Below are 27,256 nucleotides of genomic sequence, written 5' to 3' on the forward strand. Positions count from 1 at the left end.
ACAACCCTTTTAAATGTGTAAAAACTATTCCTAGCTCATACAAAAACAGGCTATTGGTGGGATTTGCCTCATAGACTGTAGTTTGCTGACCCCTGCTCTAGTATAAATTTGTCTTGTTTATTACTAGAGTGCTTATGCCAGTAAGTATTTTTTAAAAGAGAGAGAAAATGCATTAAGTAAATAACATTTAAGTGATTCTTTTTCTGATTCAGACATTTTCTGGGATGAAATGAGACCATTGATCATTTTATTTGATGGAATAGAACTGTTTTTCATTGCAGTGCAATGAGGTTAGGTATGATTTTGAGGACTGGGGACCATTCAGCACATTAGTTCTGAACCATATCCTTGTGCTTTGCAGAATTTTTTTCTCTTCCTCAGAGGAGCAGTTTGAATACAGGGCTTTATGGCATCAGGCATAAGCTGCCATTAAAACCTTCAACTGAAAATTGTGCTGCCCTTTATGAAAATGAGCAGCTGGTCAGCCGGACCATCGCCCACCCTCAGCTCTACTCATGTTGTGTACAAGTAGCTTGAATAGCCCTTCATGAGCAGGTCTTCTACAGACATTTTCCTATCAGTGTTGGGAGGGAAAGCCAGACCAGCAGCTAGTGTTTCTTTCAGCCTGTGTTGTGCCTTGGCATCTGACTCTCTGTGGACCCAGGAGTGAAATATCTTCCTGGAAGTGGTGATCCAGGTTAGTCTTGTCTCTCTGACTCATGTCCCAAGTTGCTTCCATAGAGATACCTGTGGCATCTTTTCCCCCTTTACTCTGTTTTCCTGAATTTCCCTCTATTTTTCACTGACTACAAAGATAAAGAAAAAGAAGAAACAATTTTAAAACATATAAAGTACTTTGAAATATTTATCCTTGGATAACTGGAGACTAGATCACATTCTTATCTTTTCATCCAGCATTTTTTTTTTTGGTGAATACCATATTATGTGTTTAAAAAGACATATGGAGACCTGACTCACACTCTGAATCTTCCAATTTTCCATTGACCACATTCTTAATGCCCTGAGAACACAAGGTCAGGCAAAGGAGCCTCTCAGCTGAGGTCCTGGCCCCAGGCCCTAAACAGGTCTTCTGTGAGCCAGGCCACAGAGTTCCTTTTGGTTGGGGTCAGTCTTAGCAGAATGTAGATCCTGGAGCAAATTTGGTCAAGCAGCTTCCTTTGCTCCCATCACCCTAAGCCTGCACTGGGGCCTGACTTCTGGCATCTCACCAATCCAGTCATGAGGGATGGCTGGCTCAGAAAGAGCACCTTGTCAAGGAAGAAGCAGCTCAAGATCACGAAAGCCCAAGCACATTTGTCCCTGTGCCCAGAACAGAGCTAGACTGGTCTGCCTCTCCCTGCATTCTTGGGGCTCTTCACTCTGTGTATTCTCAGGGCAAGGGTTGTACCAAGGGAGAGCACACTGTCCAGCCTCCTCTCACCAATTCATTCAGTCATTTACCCACTCAATACAGATTTAGTGAGTATCTGTCATATGCCAGACACAGTTCTAAGTACTGAAGACACAGAAGTCTTTGCTCATTTTACTCCATAACTTGCTCTGAAGAGGTGCCTCCAAGGATCTTACTCTTTCATGGGCTCTGTTCTCGATCACTTTTGCTCAGTATTGTGAAACCTATGGGCCTGTGATCAGAAAAAAAATGTCTTTAAACCAGTCTAATCCATGTCAAGGTCCTCTTTGGAAGGGGAGTAGCAAGGACTGGTGAGAAGGGAGCTGTGAGTGCTTCTTGAATGTAGGACCTGCTCCTTACTGGGGAGAATAGCTCACTCATTTCTACCTTCCTCCAGGTCTCATGAACATGCACAGTCCTGTGTGTTGCATCTCCTAATCTCATCTGATTCTCTGCTGTTTGCCTGGTCTTGGACTAATTTCCCTTTAGCCCACATGATGATCTTTAAGTTAAGTCTCAGCCTATTTAGACTCAGGCTGCCTCACTCACCTTGCAGTTGCCATCTTTATTATATTATGGCAGTCAAAGGTTATTTTGTTTGGACAGAGAAGTTACTCTACTGTATGGTGGACTACCTGTCCTGAACGTTCGCAAACATATCCTTTTGTTTTCTGGAGTTCCTCCTGGTTTGTTTTCTGATGGATTTCTGTTGACTCCCAGATTGAACCAATGTTTATCCTGTGTTTGGTGTATCAGGCTTTTCTGTTCTGGTTGATTTCCTGTAGCTAATTTCTAGGGAGACTTCAATTCCTCACTGAAGTCAAGTTCCTTGTCATAGAGGCCCAGTATTTCTAACTCCCATTCAGACAGAAAATTTGTTTTTATTACCCACAAGAGAAAATGATCTGGCTTTCCTGCTCTAAAGATACCCCTAGTACTACTATTTTTTCCAGTCTTGTGTTTTCAGATATTTTTCTTTAATTGACCTTCTCTATGGTCAGATTCGTGACTGTATTCCTTCCCCTAGTTTATTAATTCTTTTTTTTTTTTTTTTTTTTGAGATGAAGTCTCACTCTGTCTCCCAGGCTGGAGTGCAGTGGCTCGATCTTGGCTCACTGTAAGCTCTGCCTCCTGGGTTCATGCCATTCTCCTGCCTCAGCCTCCTGAGTAGCTGGGACCACAGGTGCCCGCCACCACGCCCGGCTAATTTTTTTGTATTTTTAGTAGAGACGGGGTTTCACTGTGTTAGACAGGATGGTCTCGATCTCCTGACCTTGTGATCTGCCCACCTTGGCCTCCCAAAGTGCTGGGATTACAGGCGTAACCCACCATGCTCTGCCTTATTAATTTCTAAGAGTCTTCCTAGAACACTGTAAGTATGCTTAACCTGGTATTATAGAGACATGTAACAGAACTAAATACTTTCCACTCCACAAAAGAAGAGGCTATTTTGAACTACATGTATCTTCACAGAGGTTACTCCAGTAAGTAACTTGTGGAAGGGAGGGTCATTGGAATATGGAAACAGACAAAATAAAATCTGTTCCCTTTTCCTCAAACCTCACATAGCCTCATACAATTAAATGAGATCTTGGTTACCTCTCAGCCTGTAAAGATTCCCCTGAGTGTGTATGTGTCAACTCCTGTCTTGGTTCATTTTATGCTGCTATAACAGAATACTGACTGGGTAATTTATAATGATCAGGCTGCGTGACTTATGATGAACAGAAATATATTTGGGTTATGGTTCTGGAGGCTGAGAAGTCCAAGAGCATGCTGGTGGTATCTTGTGAGGGCCTTCTTGCCATGTCATAACATGGCGGAAGCCATCAAACGGAGTAGAGAGAACATGCGCAAGGGTGGGATAGAAGGGGGCCAAACTCATCCTTTTATCAGAAACACACTCCCATGATAACTCATTTCCCTAGCAACGGTATTAATCCATTCCTGAAAACAGAGCCCTTATGATTGTACTGCCCCTTAAAGGTCTCACCTCTCATCCCTGTTGCATTGAGGATTAAGTTTCCAACAGATGAACTTTGGGGGACATATTCAAATCATAGCAACTCCTTATTACCCAAATTTATCATTATACTGGTCAACCTACACATTACAAATTTACATTTAAAAAAAGTAATTAAGATTTGCTAAACTTAAAAGATTTATAAGCTGTAAAAAAAATCAAAAACAAAAACAAAAAAATAAAAAGCAAATAATCTTTAAAAAATATGTACATTTTTTAAATACAATGTACTGACCTGAAAGTAGTCAAGTTATCTATAGCTACTGGTTGATAAAGGCAACAGAATTGACAGCTCCCACGTCTGTAATTAAATGTGTGAAACTAACAAATGGAAATAATAGAGAAAGATTATTTTTCTTTACTGGTCATGTTGTGACATCAATTTGTTTTAAATGATGAGAAAAGAACTTAAAGGATTTGCTTTTTATTATAGTGCAAATTAATATTCAACTACTGAACTGAAATAGATTTGCATAAGAGTTATCACTATCAATAATCATTTGAAATTCATTTTTCCCAGATAAATTAGAATCTCCAGTGATAACAAGCAAGAGTTATCTCCTGCATTTTTGAAAAAAGGTTAAAATAATAGCTATTTCCTATAACTAGATCTTGAGATTGGACATAAACCTTATACGTGCAACTTTCCTTATCTGATTTTAAGTTTCCTTTAACTGTAAACATGAGCTAATGCCACATGAAACTAGGAAAATACGATGGAATTTGAAAATGATGTTAGATAGATAAAAGTAAGGAAATCCTAGATTTGAATGACATGGAAATGTCACCTAGTTCAGTCTCCTGTAGGGGTACATAGTGCCTCTAGCTGCTATCATCCTTAATGATCTCCAAGGAAGAAAGTAGATAAAGATCCTTTCATCATCAGTTGTAGGACTGCCCTCAACCCTGCCCCAAATATTAGATCTTTGAACTCTCTTTTAGCAGTAAATGTTATGTAGGTATTAATATATATCTTAAATAACATATATGACAGAGATGATAGAGGTAATAATAATAAGTAATCACTCTCCTTATTACTCTGAAAATATTGTATATAGCAGTAATATCAACCACAATCAAAATGCCATATATTGAGTATTTGAATGGGCTAGACTCTCCTCTGATCCTTTTTTTAAAAGCATCATTCCACTAGTTTCCATTGCTATTATCCATGAAGAAATAGAGACTTAGAGAAGATAAGTAATTGGCTCATTTCCACAGTTTGTAAGGGACAGAGTTGTAATTCAGGAGCAGACCACATACTTCAAACCCTCCTGACCTTGCATCATCATACAGTAACTGTGTATCTATTGAAAATCTCTAGTTAGGTCCCTTCTGAGCTTTCTGATCTTTGAATTAATTATTTTCCATTTCTAACATTTGGCCATAGTGTCATTTTCCAGCATTAGTCACTTACAAAGATGTAGGATGTGCTATTATTTTAAATCCACATTCATCAAGAAAATAGGCCTAATTGGAGGGAATTAAGGTAGCTGCAATTTCCTGATGATTAAGCACTAGAATATGTTGCTAGGAGAAACTGGAGAATTTTCTTTTTTGAAAGTCTGAAAGAAAAGTACAAATAAGGTTTCAACAAACTCTAACTTGAACCCCAGTTTCCTGATTTGCTAAATGAATGGTTTAGAGTAGGTGATCTCCCTTGGGTCTCCCCAACCCTAACAACCCACAAGTCTGTAACTTTAAGTAGCAATTGGATGTTATAACCTCTCAAGGTCATTTTTAGACTTCTATATTTTGCTTCAATGATTCTTGACTCTCTTTGGTTCAGCTCCACATTCTGGAGTTTCTTTCAAATGGAGATCTCATAAGAGCTATTATTTAACAGTATCCCAAATGTGCAATGTACAGAATTAAATACAACCATGCATTTAAGACTTTAACAATCATAGTTCATCAGCACTATGTGTTCTTTCTCCTATTTGATTAAGGTTAAACAACAAGATGATGTTTCCTCATTGGGTAGCATTTTAAAGTGTATTGTGTATGTGACAGATGAGATCTTATAAATGCATTAGGCATGCTTATTTTAATATCTAAGCATATGCAAAAGTTCTAGAAATATTTTACATGCAAATGTCTGGGGCTCCACTAGGGCCCATAATAGAACTCCATACTCTGTGACTTCAAAGCCCTAGTCTCGACAACTAATCACTTGGCTATTTCCAAATCAAATTTCTTCAAACAAATCAAAGGCATTTGTCCTACCCAAAAACCAAGTTCTGTGGCAAGTTTCACATTTCAAAATCAAGCTGCTTATTGAGATATTCATGCACTGAAAAAGGCACACAGAATTTCCTTTAGGAGATGAGACACACCTTTTTATGCTCCAATGAATTAGAAATTTCTCAAAGAGAATTTTAACAAATTTTCTTTACACACACACACACACACACACACACACATGCACTTCATCTTAGCAGTAAAAGCCAAGATTCAGAATTTCAGCCCAAGAGATCTTTCATTTTCTGAAAGGTTATGAGCCCCTGAGATTTCATTCCTTTCAGAGTCATAATTACTGTGTTGCTTCTGAGTTGTTAACAATAACACTGATTAAAAGGAAGACAAAAAAAAGAAGAGATCGTTCACATACCCGTATTAAGTGGCTTCACAAACTAGGAGTATTTTTAACACCACAACATTTGTGGTAAGTACAACAAAGTGTGTAATTCACTGGGAAGCAGAACAGAAAAGATGGGAATGATAATGTCAAATAACTCACTTTACCCAGGGCTCCCTGTGGGCAAGGCACTGGGCCAAGTCCTCCACAGGCATTGTTGCATTTAATACAACAATTTTTAACAATTTTTAATAAAAGCCCTCCAATGAGGCACTTTTACTGTAGCATTTTTACCCATGAGGAAACTGAGGTTCAGAGAAGTTGAATAACTTGACAAGAGTCACCCAGACTCCCAAGCCTCTGTTCTTAATTGCTCAACTATGCTACTGCCTTTTCTTTTATTTTTATTATTATTATTATACTTTAAATTCTAGGGCACATGTGCACAATGTGCAGGTTTGTTACATATGTATACATGTGCCATGCTGGTGTGCTGCACCCATTAACTCATCATTTACATTAGTTATATCTCCTAATGCTATCCCTCCCCCCTCCCCCCACCCCACCAGAGGCCCGGGTGTGTGATGTTCCCCTTCCTGTGTCCATCTGTTCTCATTGTTCAATTCCCACCTATGAGTGAGAACATGTGGTGTTTGGTTTTTTGTCCTTGCGACAGTTTGCTGAGAATGATAGTTTCCAGCTTCATCCATGTCCCTACAAAGGACATGAACTTATCCTTTTTATGGCTGCATATTGTTCCATGGTGTATATGTGCCACATTTTCTTAATCCAGTCTATCACTGATGGACATTTGGGTTGGTTCCAAGTCTTTGCTGTTGTGAATAGTGCCGCAATAAACATACGTGTGCATGTGTCTTTATAGCAGCATGATTTGTAATCCTTCGGGTATATACCCAGTAATGGGATGGCTGGGTCAAATGGTATTTCTAGTTCTAGATCCCTGAAGAATCGCCATACTGTCTTCCACAATGGTTGAACTAGTTTACAGTCCCACCAACAGTGTAAAAGTGTTCCTATTTCTCCACATCCTCTCCAGCACTTGTTCTTTCCTGATTTTTTAATGATTGCCATTCTAACTGGTGTGAGATGGTATCTCATTGTGGCTTTGATTTACATTTCTCTGATGGCCAGTGATGATGAGCATTTTTTCATGTGTCTGTTGGCTGCATAAGTGTCTTCTTTTGAGAAGTGTCTGTTCATATCCTTTGCCCACTTTTTGATGGGGTTGTTTGTTTTTTTCTTGTAAATTTGAGTTCTTTGTAGATTCTGGATATTAGCCCTTTTTCAGATAAGTAGATTGCAAAAATTTTCTTCCATTCTGTAGGTTGCCTGTTCACTCTGATGGTAGTTTCTTTTGCTGTGCAGAAGCTCTTTAGTTTAATTAGATCCTATTTGTCAGTTTTGGCTTTTGTTGCCATTGCTCTTTGTGTTTTAGACATGAAGTCCTTGCCCATGCCTATGGCCTGAATGGTATTGCCTAAGTTTTCTTCCAGGGTTTTTATGGTTTTAGGTCTAACATTTAAGTCTTCAATCCATCTTGAATTAATTTTTGTATACGGTGCAAGGAAGGCATCCAGTTTCAGCTTTCTACATACGGCTAGCCAGCTTTCCCAGCACCATTTATTAAATAGGGAATCCTTTCCCCATTTCTTGTTTTTGTCAGGTTTGTCAAAGATCAGATGGTTGTAAATGTGTGGTATTATTTCTGAGGGCTCTCTTCTGTTCCATTAGTCTATATGTCTGTTTTGGTACCAGTACCATGCTGTTTTGGTTACTGTAGCCTTGTAGCAGAGTTTGAAGTCAGGTAGCATGATGCCTCCAGCTTTGTTCTTTTGGCTTAGGATTGACTTGGCAATGTGGGCTCTTTTTTGGTTCCATATGAACTTTAAAGTAGTTTTTTCCAATTCTGTGAAGAAAGTCATTTGTAGCTTAATGGGGATGGCATTGAATCTATAAATTACCTTGGGCAGTATGGCCATTTTCACAATATTGATTCTTCCTATCCATGAGCATGGAATGTTCTTCCATTTGTTTGTGTCCTCTTTTATTTCGTTGAGCAGTGGTTTGTAGTTCTCCTTGAAGAGGTCCTTCACATCCCTTGTAAGTTGGATTTCTAGGTATTTTATTCTCTTTGAAGCAATTGTGAATGGGAGTTCACTCATGATTTGGCTCTCTGTTTGTCTGTTATTGGTGTATAAGAATGCTTGTGATTTTTGCACATTGATTTTGTATCCTGAGACTTTGCTGATGTTTCTTATCAGCTTAAGGAGATTTTGGGCTGAGACAATGGGGTTTTCTAAATATACAATCATGTCATCTGCAAACAGGGACAATTTGACTTCCTCTTTTCCTAACTGAATACCCTTTCTTTCTTTCTCCTGCCTGAATGCCCTGGCCAGAACTTCCAACACTATACTGAATAGGAGTGGTGAGAGACGCATCCCTGTCTTGTGCCAGTTTTCAAAGGGAATGCTTCCAGTTTTTGCCCATTCAGTATGATATTGGCTGTGGGTTTGTCATAAATAGCTCTTATTATTTTGAGATACATCCCATCAATACTTAATTTATTGAGAGTTTTTAGCATGAAAGGCTGTTGAATTTCGTCAAAGGCCTTTTCTGCATCTATTGAGATAACCATGTGGTAGTTGTCTTTGGCTCTATTTATATGCTGGATTACGTTTATTGATTTGCATACGTCAAACCAGCCTTGCATCCCAGGGAAGAAGCCCACTTGATCATGGTGGATAAGCTTTTTGATGTGCTGCTGGATTCGGTTTGCCAGTATTTTACTGAGGATTTTTGCATCGATGTTCATCAGGGATATTGGTCTAAAATTCTCTTTTTTTGTTGTGTGTCTACCAGGCTTTGGTATCAGGATGATGCTGGCCTCATAAAATGAGTTAGGGAGGTTTCCCTCTTTTTCTATTGATTGGAATAGTTTCAGAAGGAATGGTACCAGCTCCTCCTTGTACCTCTGGTAGAATTAGGCTGTGAATCCATCTGGTCCTGGACTTTTTTTGGTTGGTAGGCTATTAATTATTGCCTCAATTTCAGAGCCTGTTATTGGTCTATTCAGGGATTCAACTTCTTCCTGGTTTAGTCTTGGGAGGATGTATGTGTCCAGGAATTTATCCATTTCTTCTAGATTTTCTAGTTTATTTGCATAGAGGTGTTTATAATATTCTCTGATGGTTGTTTGTATTTCTGTGGGATCAGTGGTGATATCCCCTTTATGATTTTTTATTGTGTCTATTTGATTCTTCTCTGTTTTCTTCTTTATTAGTCTTGCTAGTGATCTATCAATTTTGTTGATCCTTTCAAAAAACTAGCTCCTGGATTCATTGATTTTTTTGAAGGGTTTTTTGTGTCTCTATCTCCTTCAGTTCTTCTCTGATCTTAGCTATTTCTTGCCTTCTGCTAGCTTTTGAATGTGTTTGCTCTAGCTTCTGTAGTTCTTTTAATTGTGATGTTAGGGTGTCCATTTTAGATCTTTCCTGCTTTCTCTTGTGGACATTTAGTACTATAAATTTCCCTCTACACACTGCTTTGAACGTGTCCCAGAGATTCTGGTATGTTGTGTCTTTGTTCTCATTGGTTTCAAAGAACATCTTTATTTCTGCCTTCATTTTGTTATGCACCCAGTAGTCATTCAGGAGCAGGTTGTTCAGTTTCCATGTAGTTGAGCAGTTTTGAGTGAGTTTCTTAATCCTGAGTTCTGGTTTGATTGCACTGTGATCTGAGAGACAGTTTGTTATAATTTCTGTTCTTTTACATTTGCTAAGGAGTGCTTTACTTCCAACTATGTGGTCAATTTTGGAATAAGTGCGATGTGGTGATGAGAAGAATGTATATTTTGTTGATTTGGGGTGGAGATTTCTGTAGATGTCTATTAGGTCTGCTTGGTGCAGAGCTGAGTTCAATTCCTGGATATCCTTGTTAACCTTCTGTCTCATTGATCTGTCTAATGTTGACAGTGGGGTGTTAAAGTCTCCCATTATTATTGTGTGGGAGTCTAAGTCTCTTTGTAGGTCTCTAAGGACTTGCTTTATGAATCTGGGTGCTCCTGTATTGGGTGCATATATATTTAGGATAGTTAGCTCTTCTTGTTGAATTGATCCCTTTACCATTATGTAATGGCCTTCTTTGTCTCTTTTCGTCTTTGTTGGTTTAAAGTCTGTTTTATCAGAGACTAAGATTGCAACCCTTGCCTTTTTTTTGTTTTCCCTTTGCTTGATAGATCTTCTGCCATCCCTTTATTTTGAGCCTATATGTGTCTCTGCATGTGAGATGGATCTCCTGAATACAGCACACTGGTGAGTCTTGACTCTTTATCCAATTTGCCAGTCTGTGTCTTTTAATTGGGGCATTTAGCCCATTTACATTTAAGGTTAATATTGTTATGTGTGAATTTGATCCTGTCATTATGATGTTAGCTGGTTATTTTGCTCGTTAGTTGATGCAGTTTCTTCCTAGCCTCGATGGTCTTTACAATTTGGCATGTTTCTGCAGTGGCTCGTACCGGTTGTTCCTTTCCATGTTTAGTGCTTCCTTCAGGAGCTCTTTTAGGGCAGGCCTGGTGGTGACAAAATCTCTCAGCATTTGCTTGTCTGTAAAGGATTTTATTTCTCCTTCATTTGTGAAGCTTAGTTTGGCTGGATATGAAATTCTGGATTGAAAATTCTTCTCTTTAAGAATGTTGAATATTGGCCCCTACTCTCTTCTGGCTTGTAGAGTTTCTGCCAAGAGATCAGCTGTTAGTCTGATAGCCTTCCCTTTGTGGGTAACCCGACCTTTCTCTCTGGCTGCCCTTAACATTTTTTCCTTCATTTCAACTTTGGTGAAACTGACAATTATATGTCTTGGAGTTTCTCTTCTAAAGGAGTATCTTTGTGGTGTTTTCTGCATTTCCTGAATTTGAATGTTGGCCTGCCTCGCTAGGTTGGGGGAGTTCTCCTGGATAATATCCTGCAGAGTGTTTTCCAACTTGGTTCCATTCTCCCCGTCACTTTCAGGTACACCAATCAGACATAGATTTGGTCTTTTCACATAGTCCCATATTTCTTGGAGGCTTTGTTCATTTCTTTTTGCTCTCTTTTCTCTAAACCTCTCTTCTCGCTTCATTTCATTCATTTGATCTTCAATCACTGTTACCCTTTCTTCCAGTTGATCGAATCGGCTACTGAAGCTTGTGCATTCATCGCGTAGTTCTCGTGCCATGGTTTTCAGCTCCATCAGGTCATTTAAGGACTTCTCTACATTGGTTGTTCTAGTTAGCCATTTGTCTAATCTTTTTTCAAGGTTTTTAGCTTCTTTGAGATGGGTTCGAACTTCCTCCTTTAGCTTGGAGAAGTTTGATCATATGAAGCCTTCTTCTCTCTACTTGTCAAAGTCATTCTCCATCCACCTTTGTTCCGTTGGCTGGCGAGGAGCTGTGTTACTTTGGAGGGGGAGAGGCACTCTGATTTTCAGAATTTTCAGCTTTTCTGCTCTGTTTTTCCCCCATCTTTGTGGTTTTGTCTACCTTGGTCTTTGATGATGGTGATGTACAGATGGGGTTTTGGTGTGGGTGCCCTTTCTGTTTGTTAGTTTTCCTTCTAACAGTCAGGACCCTCAGCTGCAGGTCTGTTGGAGTTTGCTGGAGGTCAACTCCAGACCCTGTTTGCCTGGGTATCAGCAGCGGAGGCTGCAGAACAGAGAAGAATAAAACCAGAAGTCCTGGGAAGAAGAGTGATATAGTCTGGATATTTGTCCCTGCCCAAATCTCATGCTGAAATATAATCCCCCATGTTGGAGCTAGGGCCTGGTGGAAGGTGTTTGGATGATAAAGACTGATCCTTCATGAATGGCTTGGGACATCCCCTTTGTGGTAAGTGAGATCTTGCCAAGTTCACATGAGATCTGGTCATTTAAAAGTGTGTGGCACCTCCACCCCCACTCTCTCTCATTTGCTCCTGCTTTTGTCATGTGATGTGCCGGCTACCCCTTCACCTTCTGTGTTGATTGTTAAGTTTTCTGAGGCCTCCCTAGAAGCCAACCAGGCGCTAGCACCATGCTTCCTGTAAAGCCCGCAAAACCATGAGCCGATTAAAACACTTCTCTTTATAAATTACCCAATCTCAGGTATTTCTTTACAGCAATGCAAAAACAGCCAATACAAAGTGGTAACTAACAACATGAAAACCAGGGTAAGCTTAGATCCATGCTGTATTTATACAGGCTGGCCCAGAGCCAACACTTAATACATATTTGTTGAATAAATAAATTCATGGGTGAATTCAAGACATTGTAAAATAATTTATGGGGCATACTGGCCCTTTGACCCCCACTAGTCATCCAGTCCATTCCAGCATCTGTCAGTTAGTTGTCCATGAGTCTGTAATGGAACCTGGCTTCCACTCCCAGAGCCAGCTCTGCACAAATTTGTGAAGAACAAAATGCCTACCTGGCAGCCTCTACCTTCTCTTGTTCTTTGCTGGGACTGCTATTTTCCAAGCCTGTGTTCTCTTTCACGCTGGCCATTGACTGTCCAGAACTGGCTGTTGACTGTCCAGCAGGCCCAGGGCAAGCTCCACTCATAGAAATTGTGTGATCATCTTTCTTCTTCCTTTCTTTTCTCTATTCCAGTCAGAATTTCAGCATTTCTGGAAGCAATTGCTTGTTTGCTTATCTGCCTTCTTCTTCACACAGTAAGATATGTGAAGACAGGAGCTGCATCATTATTATATCTCCAGTGCCTGGCATCGTACTTGGAAAAAAGTAGTTGTTTAGTCAACATTTATTACTTAAATTAATGAATGAATGCATGGATGGATGAGTGTTCTCCATTGCAAACATTGCTTATCAAGATTGCAGGTATTTGAGTACTATTACTATTAATTGTTATGGTAATATTGAACTTATTTGGAAGTATTACTGTTGGAAGAAACATATTTTGCAGGTGTGTGTGTGTGTGTGTAAAACTATTATGTTCCTCATTTATTCAACAAATATTTATTGAGTATGTACTATGTGACAGGCACTAGGGTATATTATTATGTTGTTGTTGACCATTATCTTCCACCATCCCTTTAAATATTTTAGGAGAGTTCTCTCTCTCTCTCTCCCTCTCGCTCTTGCTCTTGCTCTCTGTCTCTCTCTTCCCCTCTTTCTCTTTTTGCATGTGGATGAAAATTCCAAAAGGATCTATAATTTTCTGCATAATAGACATCCTGAAATGCCTTGACGTCAGAAACACAGTCTCAATTCAGGAAATATGATTTGCAGTTCCATGGAATAATCAAAACTCTGAACTTGAGTAAATATTAAGCCTTCTCCACTTCCAAAGGTGGAGCCCTGCTTCAAGGAGGGGTCACGGGACTTAGGTGCGTTCTCCGCCCTCTCCATGCTGACCTCTTTTCTCACCTGATCTGCCCAGCTCAGGGCTGGACAAGAGGTGGGAGGGAAGAAAAGTGGATAGGACCTTAGTCTCACTAGTTCTTACTCGCTGTTAGTTCTCTGAGCCTGGCGTATAGTTCCAGTTGTACCTGGTTGAAGAAGCTTTTATGTCCTCTTCAGAGATCCCCCGACAGGCCATTTCTGGTGATTCTTCCCTAAGCCCCAGGTAGCTGGAGGGCACATACCCTCGGTGTAAATCTTCCAGACAGACTTTCAGGTATGATGTAAGAAAATCCCACACTTGCTGTCTCACTCACATGGCCCTCATATGCTTCATGGGAAACATTTACATCCCTGCCCCGACAGCCTCTGGGAGTTAGGGGTCAGTTAGGCATCAGTCCTCTCTATCTCCTGACCCGAAAATAGCCCACGGACCTTTCGATGACCCTCTTGCATGTCCCCTCTCCAGACCTGAGGTAGAAATAGGAAGGTGGAGATGGCTAGAGAGGCGAGAGTTTTCTGATGAGATTCCTCTCCTGACTCTCCTGCTCACCACACTCTAGGCCTACTTGAATTCTCAAAGCAGATAGTAAGTTCTAGGATCCAGAGACTTAAAAAAAAATCTGCATTTAGTAGGTTGGCCTTGGAAATTTCCATTTTATTTTGTAGTCTCCTTAGACACTTCAATTTTGGGCACATTATTGTATATAGTATATGATATATACTTATATGTTATATATTATATATAAGTTATATGAGATATATATTTATATATCAATATATTGTATAGATAGTGTGTGTGTTTCTATGTATCTCAAGTGTTTTGAACACAACTTGCGGAATGCAATAAAATTATTTTGCCACCTCTCCCTTTAAAATATATTCAGTTCTTTCTCTGCTCCTGGATGAATACTCCACTTGGGCATTCTCAGAGCTTTTCTAATATCTCTTGGAGAATAGAAAGTATTCTGGTCTCTTAAAGAATAAAATGTTGCCACAATTTGATATTTTAAGTGTCCAGTTCCACGTAATAGTCAAACCTCCCATCTTCATTCAAAGTTACACCTACTCCCCGTCTTCCCAGTGGGCCTGCAGTCTGGGAATATGATGCATTTAGTTTCTTTTTTTTCTTTTTTTCTTTTTTTTTGTTTTTTTTTGAGACAGAGTTTGACTCTTGTTGCCCAGGCTGGAGTGCAATGGCGTGATCTCAGCTCACCACAACATCCACCTCCTGGGTTCAATTGATTCTCCTTCCTCAGCCTCCCAAGTAGCTGGGATTACGGACATGCGCCACCACGCCCGGCTAATTTTTTATTTTTAGTAGAGATGGGGTTTCTCCAAGTTGGTCAGGCTGGTCTCGAACTCCCAACCTCAGGTGATCCGCCCACCTTGGCCTTCCAAAGTGCTGGGATTACAGGTGTGAGCCACCGCACCTGGCCAATTTCTTTTCTTTTTCTTGCTCCTCACTGCCCTAGCTAGCTGCTATTTATAGACCATTTGGAGTTGAAGCAAGAGGGTTGGAGGAGAGGCAAGATCTTACATCAACAGTTTTGCTGTAAGCTGGCCTCATATTTTCTGGGTCTGGCCAATATTAAAACTCTTTGTCTCATGGGATACTTTCAGAGGTTCTTTGAAATGCCCATCCCACCACTGTGCTGGGAAACTTTCAGCAGCACAGTTCTCTTGATACAGATCATGTATTTTCCTGACTTGTTTCCTACTTCTTCCACAGTCTCTAGGAATTGGGAGGTGGTGTTCACCCCTGGCTTCCACATGCTGAGTTTTCAGTCTCCCATCTCAAAGGCCCCATTGAGCAGGATGGAGTAAGCACAACCTCATTCTGAGTGCCTTGTTTGTAGGCCTGTGTTTAATCTAAGGGAAACATAAAACCTCTACTCCTAGAAACTCTAGGAGACACATCTGCCATTGTTACCACTGGAAGTGAGATGCCAGTTCACTATATCTCCCCAGCTACAGGGCATAGATACCAAATTTCCAAGAGATTTTGTCAGAATCTCTTTCACTAGTAGAAGTGAAGGGGCAAGCACTCCTTTGGAAGAGGGACATCAAAGTACAGTTCTTGCTAAAGAAATTCCCCCTCAAATTCTTTCTTCTCTCAAACCTTTTATATCCTCAGTGTGCCTGAATTGTCTACAAGCCATGTAATTAGTTTTTGTTATCTCTTTTTCAAGTCCTACAGGCTGGCCTGTTGCATAGATCATTTTCGTCTCTGATAACCGTGAAAGCTGAGTGTTCAGCCAAAATTTCCAATTAAACATCCTGATATGTACATAATTAGATATACACAACTGTCCTGTGGCATCAGCAGCATATATTGTTATTCCTGTTTGATGTATGAGTAACCTAAAGTACAGACAAGTGAAGTAACCTGCACCATGACTAGTTGGGTTTTCTCACTCCATGTCTTCACTCTTTCCCTGACTGAGTTAACACATTGTCCTTTTAAGAACGGACTGAAGGTCCAGCGAGTAGATGAACAGAAGTAACCTTATTGGTGTTGCACAGGCCTACAAAATTACTAAGAAGTCCTTACAACAAATAAATATAACACATATTTCATGGGAAGTAAAATAAAATAGTAGACTTAATGATGGTTTAGAATAAGTAGTATTAAGTAAGGAAAATAGACTGACATAAAAAAGAAACAAAAAAAGACTGAAAAATATAGGTATAGTAAAAATTAAAAGAAAAACATTATCTATTATTGAAAATTAAGCATCTGATTATGTGATAATAAAAGCTTAACGTAGTTTGCCCAGGTTTGAAAGAAAACTGATTGACAGTCGCTTATCACCAATAATGAACCCCACCTGTGCCATAGAAAGTGTCTTGGGACACCAAACCACCCGCCAACCCCCATGTTGTAACATCACAGTAGTACAAGGATGTAGATGCACCAACCTAATTTGAATGTGAAGTAGTCCGTGGTATAGGACAGCATACGTACAAGCCCACCCTGAGGGAAATACTGAGCAAGAATCTAGGTGGGCTGAAAATAAGAGAATGAATAAAGGAAGGAGAACAGGGTTAAATAAATATGTGAGATGAAGCATATGGTTTGAGAAGTTTTGGGGTCCCACAGATCTATTGCAGGGTACTACTGGTAATGACACTCATGAACCATGTACCTTCACCTGTTCTACTAACTATTTTCTTGAGTAAAGAGGTCATCTTCTGGTGCCTTGGGATTGGGACTGCTTAAGTCATTTCTAACCCTACATTCTTACTTCCCTTTAGGGTTAGGCCTAGAAGGAGAAAGAGGAAGGACATGAAACAAAGAGTTGACACCTTCTTTTTTTTTTTTTCTTATTTTAAAGGTACCATCAGACCTCTCTTATACTTCATTTTACTTCCCACCACATTCAATTTCAGATTTTTTGTTCAATTGCTTATATCATTTAGCAACCATTCAAAATTGAATGCTGCCTTTGGAAATAAAGAACATCTGCTCTAAATCTTGTTGTGCTGGAGATTTTGCAAGAAGCTAGAGAGGCAGATGCTGCCATATAGAGTTGGCAAAGTCCAAAAGACATGACTTACAGGCACACCAAGCCTAGAGAAACTGATAAGAAGTAGTGCTGCAAAATAACCCTTAGAGGAGGACTTGTAAAGCAAAGGAATTTAGAGGATACTAGAAGTAGAAATGTGATCCAAGTATGAAATAAAAACACAATAGCTACAGCTATAATACCTTCGCCTCTAGTCTCTTTTCTCAAGCCTAGTCTTCACTCCTGATTTTGCACTGTGATCTCAAAGTACTGATTCCTGATTTTGATTGACCATTTCTCAAATTTCCCCTATTAATTTGGAATCTTCTAGTTTTCTACATATGGGCCTTCCTGGACCATACACAGAGAATGCCTCTCTCTCTGTTTTAAATGGGATAACAGATATAGATGTTATCTCCCCAGAATAAAAGAGAGTACAAATGTTGGGTCTGACTTCTGTCTTATTATTATTCAGTTTGGTCTGATTTCAGGATCTGTTTAACATGTATTGATTTATCTGTTAGGCCCACTTTGTCATTTTAACATGCATATTAAAAAAAGAAGAGGTATTGAATTCAGCCATTCAGATCTTTTTCAAATTGGAAGCAACTTCAGAAATCTCCACAATCTGAAAATGTTCCTGTGTGTAGGGCCATTTCCTCAGGGGATATGAACAGTTTCATGAAGATGTCCCACACCTCCAGATTTGTCCTCTTTTTCATCAGAGCTCCTTTCTTATCTTTGCCTGGGCCCTTAGGAGGGCTTTCTGCCATGTCAGTATCCTGTCAATTTCTACAACTCTATGAAGTTTTTCACATAGTAGAATATATTGTCAAAATGTCTTGATGTCTTATTACAACCTTTACCCAATCTCGGCAGCAGGATTTCTGAACACACTCCTGGTGCCTTTTTCCTGATACATTTATTATCTATTGTGAGAGTTAAATGGTATCTCGACCACATCCTGTTCTTCCTAGAATCCATATCACCTTAAACATCTAGTAGTCTCATTTCTGACATTCTGGTGGGGAAACCTATTTTTAGGTAAAGTTGCTTATTTTTGTTGGAGGAACGTTTGATTTTACTAAGTCTCTTAAGTTTCTTGAATTAGGTTTTCTAATCTATTTGTTCATTCACAAATATTTATTGAGTGTATATTAGAGTTCTCCAGGGGAATAGGACTAATAGGATGTGTGCATGTGTATATATATATATATATATATATATATATATATATATATACACACACACACACACACTTTCCCTACTTTCTTCCACTTATTACCCTTGGCTGAAGCATGAAAATATATTTCATGTGTATAAACACACACACACACACACACACACACACACACACTTTCCCTACTTTCTTCCACTTATTACCCTTGGCTGAAGCATAAAAATATATTTCATGTGTATGCGCACACACACACACACACACACACACACACACTTTCCCTACTTTCTTCCACTTATTACCCTTGGCCGAAGCATGAAAATATATTTCATGTGTATGCACACACACACACACACACACACACATATATATGTAGGAAGAGATTTATTGTGAACTGGCTCATGTGATTATGGAAATTGACAAGTTCTAAGATTTGAAGTCAGCAAGTAGGAAACCCCAAAGAGCCAATGGTATAGTTCCCATTTGAAGGCTGGCAGGCTTGAGACTCTGAAAAAGCAGATGTTTCAGTTTGAGTCTGAAGGCTGAAAAACATGATGTCCCAGCTCAAGGCAGTCAGGCAGGAGGAAATTCCCTCTTACTCATGAGAAGGTCAGTCTTTTTGTTCTATTCAGATCTTCAGCAGATTGGATGAGGCATCCCCCACATTAGGAAGGGCAATCTGCTTTACTCAGTCTACTGATTCAAATGTTAATCTCCTCCCAAAACACCCTCACAGACATGCCCAGGATAATGTTTGACCAAATACCTGGGTACTCCATGAGCCAGTCAAGTTGACACATAAATTAACCGTAACATGTACATACTGTGTGTATGCCAGGTACTTACTTAACAGATCCTTTTTTACTGTTAATTTTATTATTATAAATGTGGCTGAGAAAACAGTATATTCTTCGTAATATTGTTGCAAATGAATCAGGCAGATATTTAAGGGTAGGATTTCTTGTTCTGTTGGGAAGATACGTATGACTGCCTTTGTCATCTCAAACAAAGTTGCAAAAAGTGTCATGACTTAGGGTAACTAATGGTAAGTACCATGGTAATCAATCCCTAAATTTTCTAGTTTAATTTAAAAAAAATTATTTCTAACTTACTTCACTGTCTGATGAAGGCCAGGAAACTCTCCTAGGTAACTTACCTCCAAGTTGTAGAATTCAGGCCCCTTTCATGTGTTTAAATATAACCTTTTTTTCTTCCCCTCCAACTCCCCTTCCTAAAGATAAACTTTTAAATCAATAGGTATCTCACAGTACTTTGTGAAGGAAGGTAAAATAAAGTCAACTCGAAAATTGTATATTTAATTGATTACTGACCTCTATAATTTAAAAGCTGCTTGATCTTGGACAAATAATTCTTTTTCATTGATGATCTTGGAACCCAGTGGGAAAGAACTACAGAACGAAATGGTAAATCAAATATCGAAGATGTTTTGTTACTTGAGGAATCTTCTGTTAGGTTGGTATAGCGGAGGAAACCTTCCAATTGAGTTTTGAGTTTAAGTAACAAGTTTTGCTCATCAAGCTGGGCAATCTGGGCAAACCAATTAACCACTCTGGGCTTTGGTTTCCTCATTTGAAACTTAGCATGTTAGCCACACTGATTTTGCTAACATCACTTCCAAATCAAAATTGCAATTATTCTAGTAGACCATCTCTTTAGATCTGGATTAAGGATGAGGCCTACTTGGAGGTGAAGGAATCAAGTAGAAAGATGTGAAATGGTCCCTCCCTCCATATGGAAAAATCTGCCTGAGATTTAGACAGACACTATTCAAAACTGTAAGTCCACTGAGCACCAACTGCGGTACAAAAAGTTAAGTTCCCAGGTCTCATTTACAGAGTAGTAGCTGCTTGTTAGTTATCACACGCCAGTGATTCAGCTGGAGAAGCTAAGGCAGAAGGCAATTATGTAACCATCACAAAAGGGTATGGGGGAAGCACTTGAACCCATACCGGGCATTCTGGCTTCTGGTCAGATGCGAGGGATGGATTCAATGTCATTTTAATCTTTATTCATTGTTTCAATCTGTTAGAACTGTTATAGTTTGGAGCTCCATACAGAATGCAGATTTGTTCAAATGACTTCCCAAGAACTTGTAGCAAGAGCACTTGGAGCCATCCTGGACAGGCCCATGCTGTGCCTCACACATGCACAGCATCTTCAAGGGGTCATACAGAAACTGCCTCCAAACCTCCCCACCCACTTCCACTTTGCCACAACCCCAAGAGAGGACACCCATCTCAAAAAGGTTTGCTTTCCTGTGGAGTAAGAGGTATAATTAAATTGTGTCCCAGCAGTGAAGGTTCCTTAATGATAATGAGCCAAAACTAATTGTATTGATTTGTTTATCACCGGCTTAGGAGGCCCATCAAACAAATGGACTGAGACTATTTCCATATTCTTATCTGTTAGGTAAATGAGAAACAAATGACCTCTCCCTATGTCTGCATCCTGAAGTCACTGCCCTCTAAGGCTGAGTGCTCTATGGCTTCGGGTGGGAGCTTTGTCCAAAGCTGGGGCCATTCTGCCCTCTGGCTTCTTCAAATAGGTGAAGAAAGTTGAAAATTTTGGTATTCATTCTTCTATTTTTCATTTATGTAGAAGGATTTGTTTTTAACAGTTACAATTTGGATCCTTGCCAAAGGTGCCAGATGGCCTGCTTTCTTCGGGAGAGCTGGTCATGAGTATTAATAACCCTAATTTGGAATTCTCTGTGGAAGGGGTAGCCACAAGATTTGGAGTGGGAGGAAATGTAGAATCATTGATAACAAGTGAATTCAGAGAAAAAGACTCTTGAATCTTGGTCAGGAGTGAGACATAACGGTAGGCAGGCAGCTTTGGGGGGCCACAGGAGAAGCCTGATGTACCTGCACCTACCCCTCTTAGTCTTGGGGAGCCTTCCCAATCTACTGCTCCACAAATTAAGAGAAATAGAGAGAATTAAAAGAGAGCTCTGGAAGAGCCATAGCAAAGTCCAGAGTTAGGTTATTGAGCTCAAGTGGAAAGGGATAAAATAAATGGCTTCCAGAATGTGAAGAAATTAGCTGCAAGAATGTGAAACTAAACAGTGGATCTGTGACTATTCACTTTCACTGAGATGAAGGAGCAAAGCTCAACCTAGTATTTAGAAAAGATTTAGGGGGACATAGAAAGAAAACCAACATCTATTGAGTTCGTGTTCTCCTCCCGTTACTTGGCTAAAGAGTGGTTAGGAGTGAGCCTGACATATATTGTTTCTTTAATTCTTTTGCCTAGCCCAGCAGGTAGGTATACATATCCCATTTTGGAGAGGAGGCAGCTATGTGTCCAGTTAATGTTTGTAAATTTAAAGCCACTATCATCTGCATCAAAGCCCATACTCTCAACGGCTGAAGACTGATATCTCACTCTCCTTCCTCATCTTTCCAATAGAAAGCAAGGAGTTCCATTCAGCACCTCTATGTGGGCAGTATTGAAGAGGATGAGCCTTTCTTCCTGTCTCACTTGCCCTTACGCTCTTCAAAGGGAGGGCCTCATCTGAAAAGGGAGATAGCCTGAAGCCCTTTGACTGCATTGATCAGGGACAGGACCATGATATTGTTACATACCTAGGTCACCCTATGGCTGAGCTCTCTCTTATGCCCTTTACACCAATCTGTGTCCTGCTCCAAGGGCCTTGCCCCTGTGACTCTTATTCAGTAAACAGGCCACACAGCTGCTTCTGGTAGCCCAGGCAGAACTCTGAGCAGAATCCTGGTCTCTGTTTCAGTTTGCACCTGGTGGCCAAGTCAGAGTTGTAAAGTCCCAAGATTTAAGTTTAGAGAAGGTTGTCAGAGATCCTTTCATATTCCCCAATTCCTTTTATCATAAATACAGCTGATGCTCTATTTTCATCACCAGTTTGCTCTTTCTTTTTATCCTCAATTGATTAGATTCCCTAGGAAAAGAGGAGTGAGTACATAGGTAATTTTTCTAAACACCAATCTCTACTACTGATGAGACAAATGGGGAGCTTTCCAAATGTGAGGGTCATTCAGGTGACCTGATGGCTTATGGTGACTGGGATGGTTTAAAGAGAATTTTGATTAACAGGAGAAAGAGTTTTTTAGGAAACCTCTAAACTTGCTTGAAGCTGATTTAGTTGATCCTGCAAAGCTGCGCTATTTTTCACCTAATTCGAGAGTTTATTTTAGAGGTATTCATCTTCTAAAAATATTTTACCTTTAACCACCATTTTCGGACATAAACTACTTTATCATTTATGTAGACTTTGAGGAGTTAAAAGCTTTTGGTAAATCTTGCCTCCTTTGATTCGCAACAAAGCAGAAAAAAAAAAAACGGAGAAGAAATTTCCTCTTTGTAAAGGAAAAAATTTATTTAATTTTAAATGACTTGTCCAAGGTCACTTGGCTGGAAAGTGTCTGGGAAGAGACTCTGCTTTTCTGTGTTCTGAGTTGGCCTTAAATTATTGCAATACTTCACATACAAAAATAAAAAAGAAAGATAAATTTGATTATATAAGAATGTAAGTCTCCTGCACAGCCATAAATATTAATTAAACAATATAAGATAAATAACAAATAGGGGAGTAATTTACCCCACTAGACAACAGGGTTAATTTTCTTAATATATAACAATCTCCTTGAATAGCAATAAAATGTATAAACAACCAAATACAAAATAGGCAAAGAAGGAAACATGCAATTAGTCAATGACCATGAAAAGATGCTTAAACTTATATAGTTAAAGAAATGCCACTGACTTATCATTTTTCACTAACTGGCATAATTAAAAATCTTGATGTAATGTTGGTAAGAATATGGGGAAAAACTGTTGGTGGGAGTATAATTTGAGACAGCTTTTCCGGAAGGGAATTGGCAGTATTTATTGTAACCTATTAGTAATGTCTGCAATATCTGGTAGGGTGTGAACATTGAGTTCCATTAGCAGAAATAAAGTATTCCTGGAGTTACAGGATAAAGCACTTATCAAACCACACAGAGTCCAAATCATGCAAATCAGAAGGCTTCCTCTCTAATCACCTTATTAATCCCCTCTCTTAGCTTCCTCCACAGCTGGTCTTTTTATCTTTCAGGTCTTTCCCAGGTTTGCAGCTTCCACGTTCTCGGTTCTACTCAGTTCTCCTTTGGTAGGAGCCTGTTTTGTTCTTTGGACCTTGGGCTTTAGTGGAGGGGAGGGGTCCTTAGGACCTTCACAGTGAAAATGTACTCAGTAATAAAACATTTCCCTTGCTGATTTTGACTACTACTTATAATTCAAATGTGCTATGCTAATAGAACCTCCCTCTTAGTGTGCAAGAGAGAAAATGAAGGAGGAATGAAAAATTATAATCAATTACAATATAAAGTGGCCCAGAATTGACAGATGGAGGAATCTATTCCATGGATGTACTTGCAACAGTATCTGAAGATACATCTGAGAAAGTAATTGAAACTTTGTAATTGCAGAACATAAAATGTAAATAGCCGTAAATAGACAACCGACAAAATAAAGCATGGTGAATTTCTAACTGGAATACTATGCGATCCTTAAGAATGGGGCAGATCTTCCATTATGCTCTAATAGAAAGTTACCTAGAATACAAAAGAATCTCATCTTCTTCAATGTGGAGATTTAAAAAAAAAAGCCTTTGGCCAACTTAAATATACATGCTTTTAGAATCATAAATGAAATTATTGAATGTTTACTTATATTTAATTTATTAATCTAGTTACACATTCACATTTAAGATTGCATATCATATAACCTATTACTTCAGAAATATTTCTACTTTTTGCATTTCTTGAATCAGTATTATATGAATACTTCACATACATTTTTGACATTAGTCTTTTACAAGCTGGAGCTGCTTTCTGAGTCATCTGATACATATTTTTTCAGAGTACATTTTCCTTATTTCCATCTGTTACTTGAGATACAGCATTTGTTGACCCACATATGATGCTATCACTGGCAATTTTATCACAAACTACAAGTACCCATTCATAGAACATCAGTAAAACTGTTTTATTAAGATTCATTCTGTAGGGCTGTATGTTGGATCTCACAACACAACTACTTATTCTGTTGCTTTGTAAATAATCTTTGAAAGGCTTGTTTTTACAATTTTAAGCTTGAAGCTTTTTGTCTTACTCCAAGAAATAAAGACTAATCTGTGATAAATTTATTTTCCCCTTTTAATCAATGTCACAGGTGACCACAATAGGTATACAAACTCATGTTGACCGAGATTGTTTCAGGCTAATGTGTCTTTCCCAAACAATAATCTTTAGTTCAAAATTAAGTAATAAAGAAAGCTTCTCATAATCTCAGAGACTTTGCAAAGACCTGGTGATAATTCCCTTTCTTTTCTGAAAGATAATTTTAGCAGAGTAACCTCATCATTTACTCAGGCATTTGTGGAATGTATATAGATGTACACTCAAGTATTCAAGATATATTCTGAAGTAAAAGGACAGATTGTAGAATAGTATTTACAGTGAACCCATTTGTAGAAAATAAAAAGGCTACACCAGTAAATGTTATCTATAATTATATGTAACTACATATTCATAAACCCTTCCTGGAATAATACATTGTGATTAATCCTAAGGTAGTGGGGGGAAGACCCCAGGAGGAGGAGGAAGACTGGAATGTTTTCTCTTTTTACCCTTGTTCCAATGTTGTCAGTGATGTATTAAATGAAAATTGGTTTTAAAATACATGCCTTTCCTTTTACTTCCTCCCCTCTCCCTCCCCCTACAAGCTATTTCTCATTTGGAGTTTTGCTTGCTATTATCTTGAGCCAAATTAAACCAGTGATCTCCTGATGGAAAAGGCCAGAGCCTGTTCAATGACTCCAGCCCCTTTCCTGTCCATTCTCCTCTGGAGCCATCACCAAAGCCCTGGTCACACTCTGTAATTTGTAAATCCTGAAATTGTGGTTTGCAAGGCAAATGATTCAGAGCAAGGGCTTTATCCCGGGATCTTATCCTCCTAGTTGCACAAAAACAAACACCAGGGACAAGAAAATTCCTTCCTTCCTTCCTTCTTTCTTTTTTCGTCTTCTCTTTTTATTCTGGGTAAAGGGAGCTAAAAAGCAGGAGAGGAGGTCAGTTTGTGGAAAATGAACTGAAGGAAGTGAATTGTAAGAGATGGGTCAAAGAAAGAAAAAAAACCACGCCTAATAAGGAAGCTAACTGCAGTTTTTCCAAATAAATTAAACGAAAGATAAAGAGGCAGGCTATCAAGGCAGCCTAAATAAGGACACCTCAAAAGGAAGAACGAGGAACAAAGCTTCAGAAGCTTCAACAGGAGAACAAAGAGGAAGAGGAAGCGGTGTTTAATGAGTGCACAGTATGAAGCCGGAGGCTGACTGCTTTGGTTTGCTGTTAGAATCTCCAGCTAACAGTGCCTAAACAATAAAAGTTTATTTCTTCTTAAGACAAGCAGTCTGGATATAGGCAGTCACTGGAATTGATTCAACAAATCAATGAAATCAGAGCTCCTGATCAGTTCAGCAATTTCTGTGATACTTTTCTCCTCTTCAATGTTCCCACGTTCTGAGACGGCTGCAGCAGCATCAAGCATCACATACTCCCACAATCCACTTTCAAAGCCTTGAGACAAAGGGCAACACAGGCCAGTGTTGCTCCTCCTGTGCGCCTCTTATCAGGAAAAAAAATATCTTTCTCAGAGCCCCACAGCAGCCTCCCTTTATATCTCATGGGCCATAGCTCTGTCACAAGCTCACCCTGTTCCAGGGATTGCCTCTACCTATTTGAGATCAAGGGATCTCTTCCTGTTACCTAAAGAAAAATTAGAGCACTGTTAATTAGCAAGAAAAGGTGATGTCTTGGAAAAAGCAGCCAACAACTTCTGCCACATTAAATAATCTCCATAAACCACCTTTTGAGGTAACTATTATTATTGCCATTTGAATTAGTTTGCTAGGGTTGCCAAAGAAAAAGACCACAAACTGGGTGCCTGAAACATCAGAAGTTTATTGTCTCATAGTTCTGAAGACTAGAAGTCCAAAATCTGGATGTCAGCAGAGTTGGTTCTTTCTGAGGGCTGTGAGGGGCAGATTTGCTCTAGACCTCTCTCTTTGGCTTGTTAATGAGTCTTTTCACTATATCTCTTCACATAATCTTCCTTCTCTGCATGTCTGTGTCCAGATTTCCTCCTTTTATAGAGACAGCAGTCAGATTGGATTAAGGCCCATCCTAACAACCAAGTAAGTTAACAATTTCAACTTAATTACCTCTATAAAGACCCTATCTCCACTTTCTGAAGTTGGGGGGTAAGTATTTAGACGTATAAATTTTAAAAGGGCACAATTCAACCTGTAACACCATTGTACAGAAGAAACCGGGTAGTAGAGATTAGATAACTTGCCCAAGACCACAGTAGCTCCAAACGTACACCTGCCTTACAACAAACTTGTGTTCTTTCCACCATAACACAAGAAAACAAAAGTTAATAAGTGAGAAATAGAGTGAATGAACAATACTAAAATATTTCTAATGCATATGACAGAGGTGTAGGACTATTATAAGGATGTGTGGGCAAAAATACAGATTTTCAGCTAAAACATTTTAATTCGTATCTCAGTGTAGGTAAGGTTGAAATTAAGAGTTGTACGCTAAATAACCTGAAACGGAACTTACAAGTTGGGTGCTTTAAGCTCTATACACCAAAATCAATGAAGCCATGAAAAGAATATAAGGAAGGGGGCAGAGAGGATAACTGGCTGGCCAGCACTGTCAGCAAGCAGGATTTGCCAAAGAGAAAGTCATCCAATGGCAACACCTCTCTCAGAGCTCACTCTCTTGCCTTCACTTCTTTGTTCTGAATGTGTGTCCCACTGATTCTCGCATTCCTACAAACTTGCATCCTGACTGCCCAACTCCCCTCCATTTGGCTTAGCTCTGCCGCAGTCAGGCAGGAAGAACGCCCACTGGGGCCTGCTCATTTGCTTTTACAGTTTTATACCACTGCAACTTGCTATGCCTCTCTTTCCCACATCTAGGGCACCCTTTAGATAGGAATGCTGGGTTCATTCCTGCTGAGGTGTTACTGACTGGTAATAGCAAAATCTGTTCCTGTCTTGCAGGATGAATGTGTACTTTTACAGAGAATACAGTCTCAATTCAAAGAATTCTTA

At 39.3% G+C, this 27,256-nt stretch overlaps 1 protein-coding gene across 15 annotated transcripts in view, besides 1 other annotated feature; it reads left to right on the forward strand.

Annotated features, from left to right (window-relative positions):
- ST6GALNAC3 (ST6 N-acetylgalactosaminide alpha-2,6-sialyltransferase 3) overlaps window positions 1–27,256 on the forward strand; it is a 562,594-nt gene that overhangs the window by 401,566 nt on the left and 133,772 nt on the right. The gene's annotated exons all lie outside the window — the stretch shown is intronic.
- Window positions 25,253–25,977: an enhancer, noted in NCBI's record as "OCT4-NANOG-H3K27ac hESC enhancer chr1:76967249-76967973 (GRCh37/hg19 assembly coordinates)". NCBI's record gives its function as "activates a minimal SCP1, AML or CMV promoter by ChIP-STARR-seq in naive H9 embryonic stem cells {active_cell/tissue: H9 hESC(naive)}" and the evidence as "EXISTENCE:reporter gene assay evidence [ECO:0000049][PMID:30033119]".

Source organism: Homo sapiens, chromosome 1 (genome assembly GCF_000001405.40).
Source record: "Homo sapiens chromosome 1, GRCh38.p14 Primary Assembly".
Taxonomy (NCBI): Eukaryota; Metazoa; Chordata; class Mammalia; order Primates; family Hominidae; genus Homo; species Homo sapiens.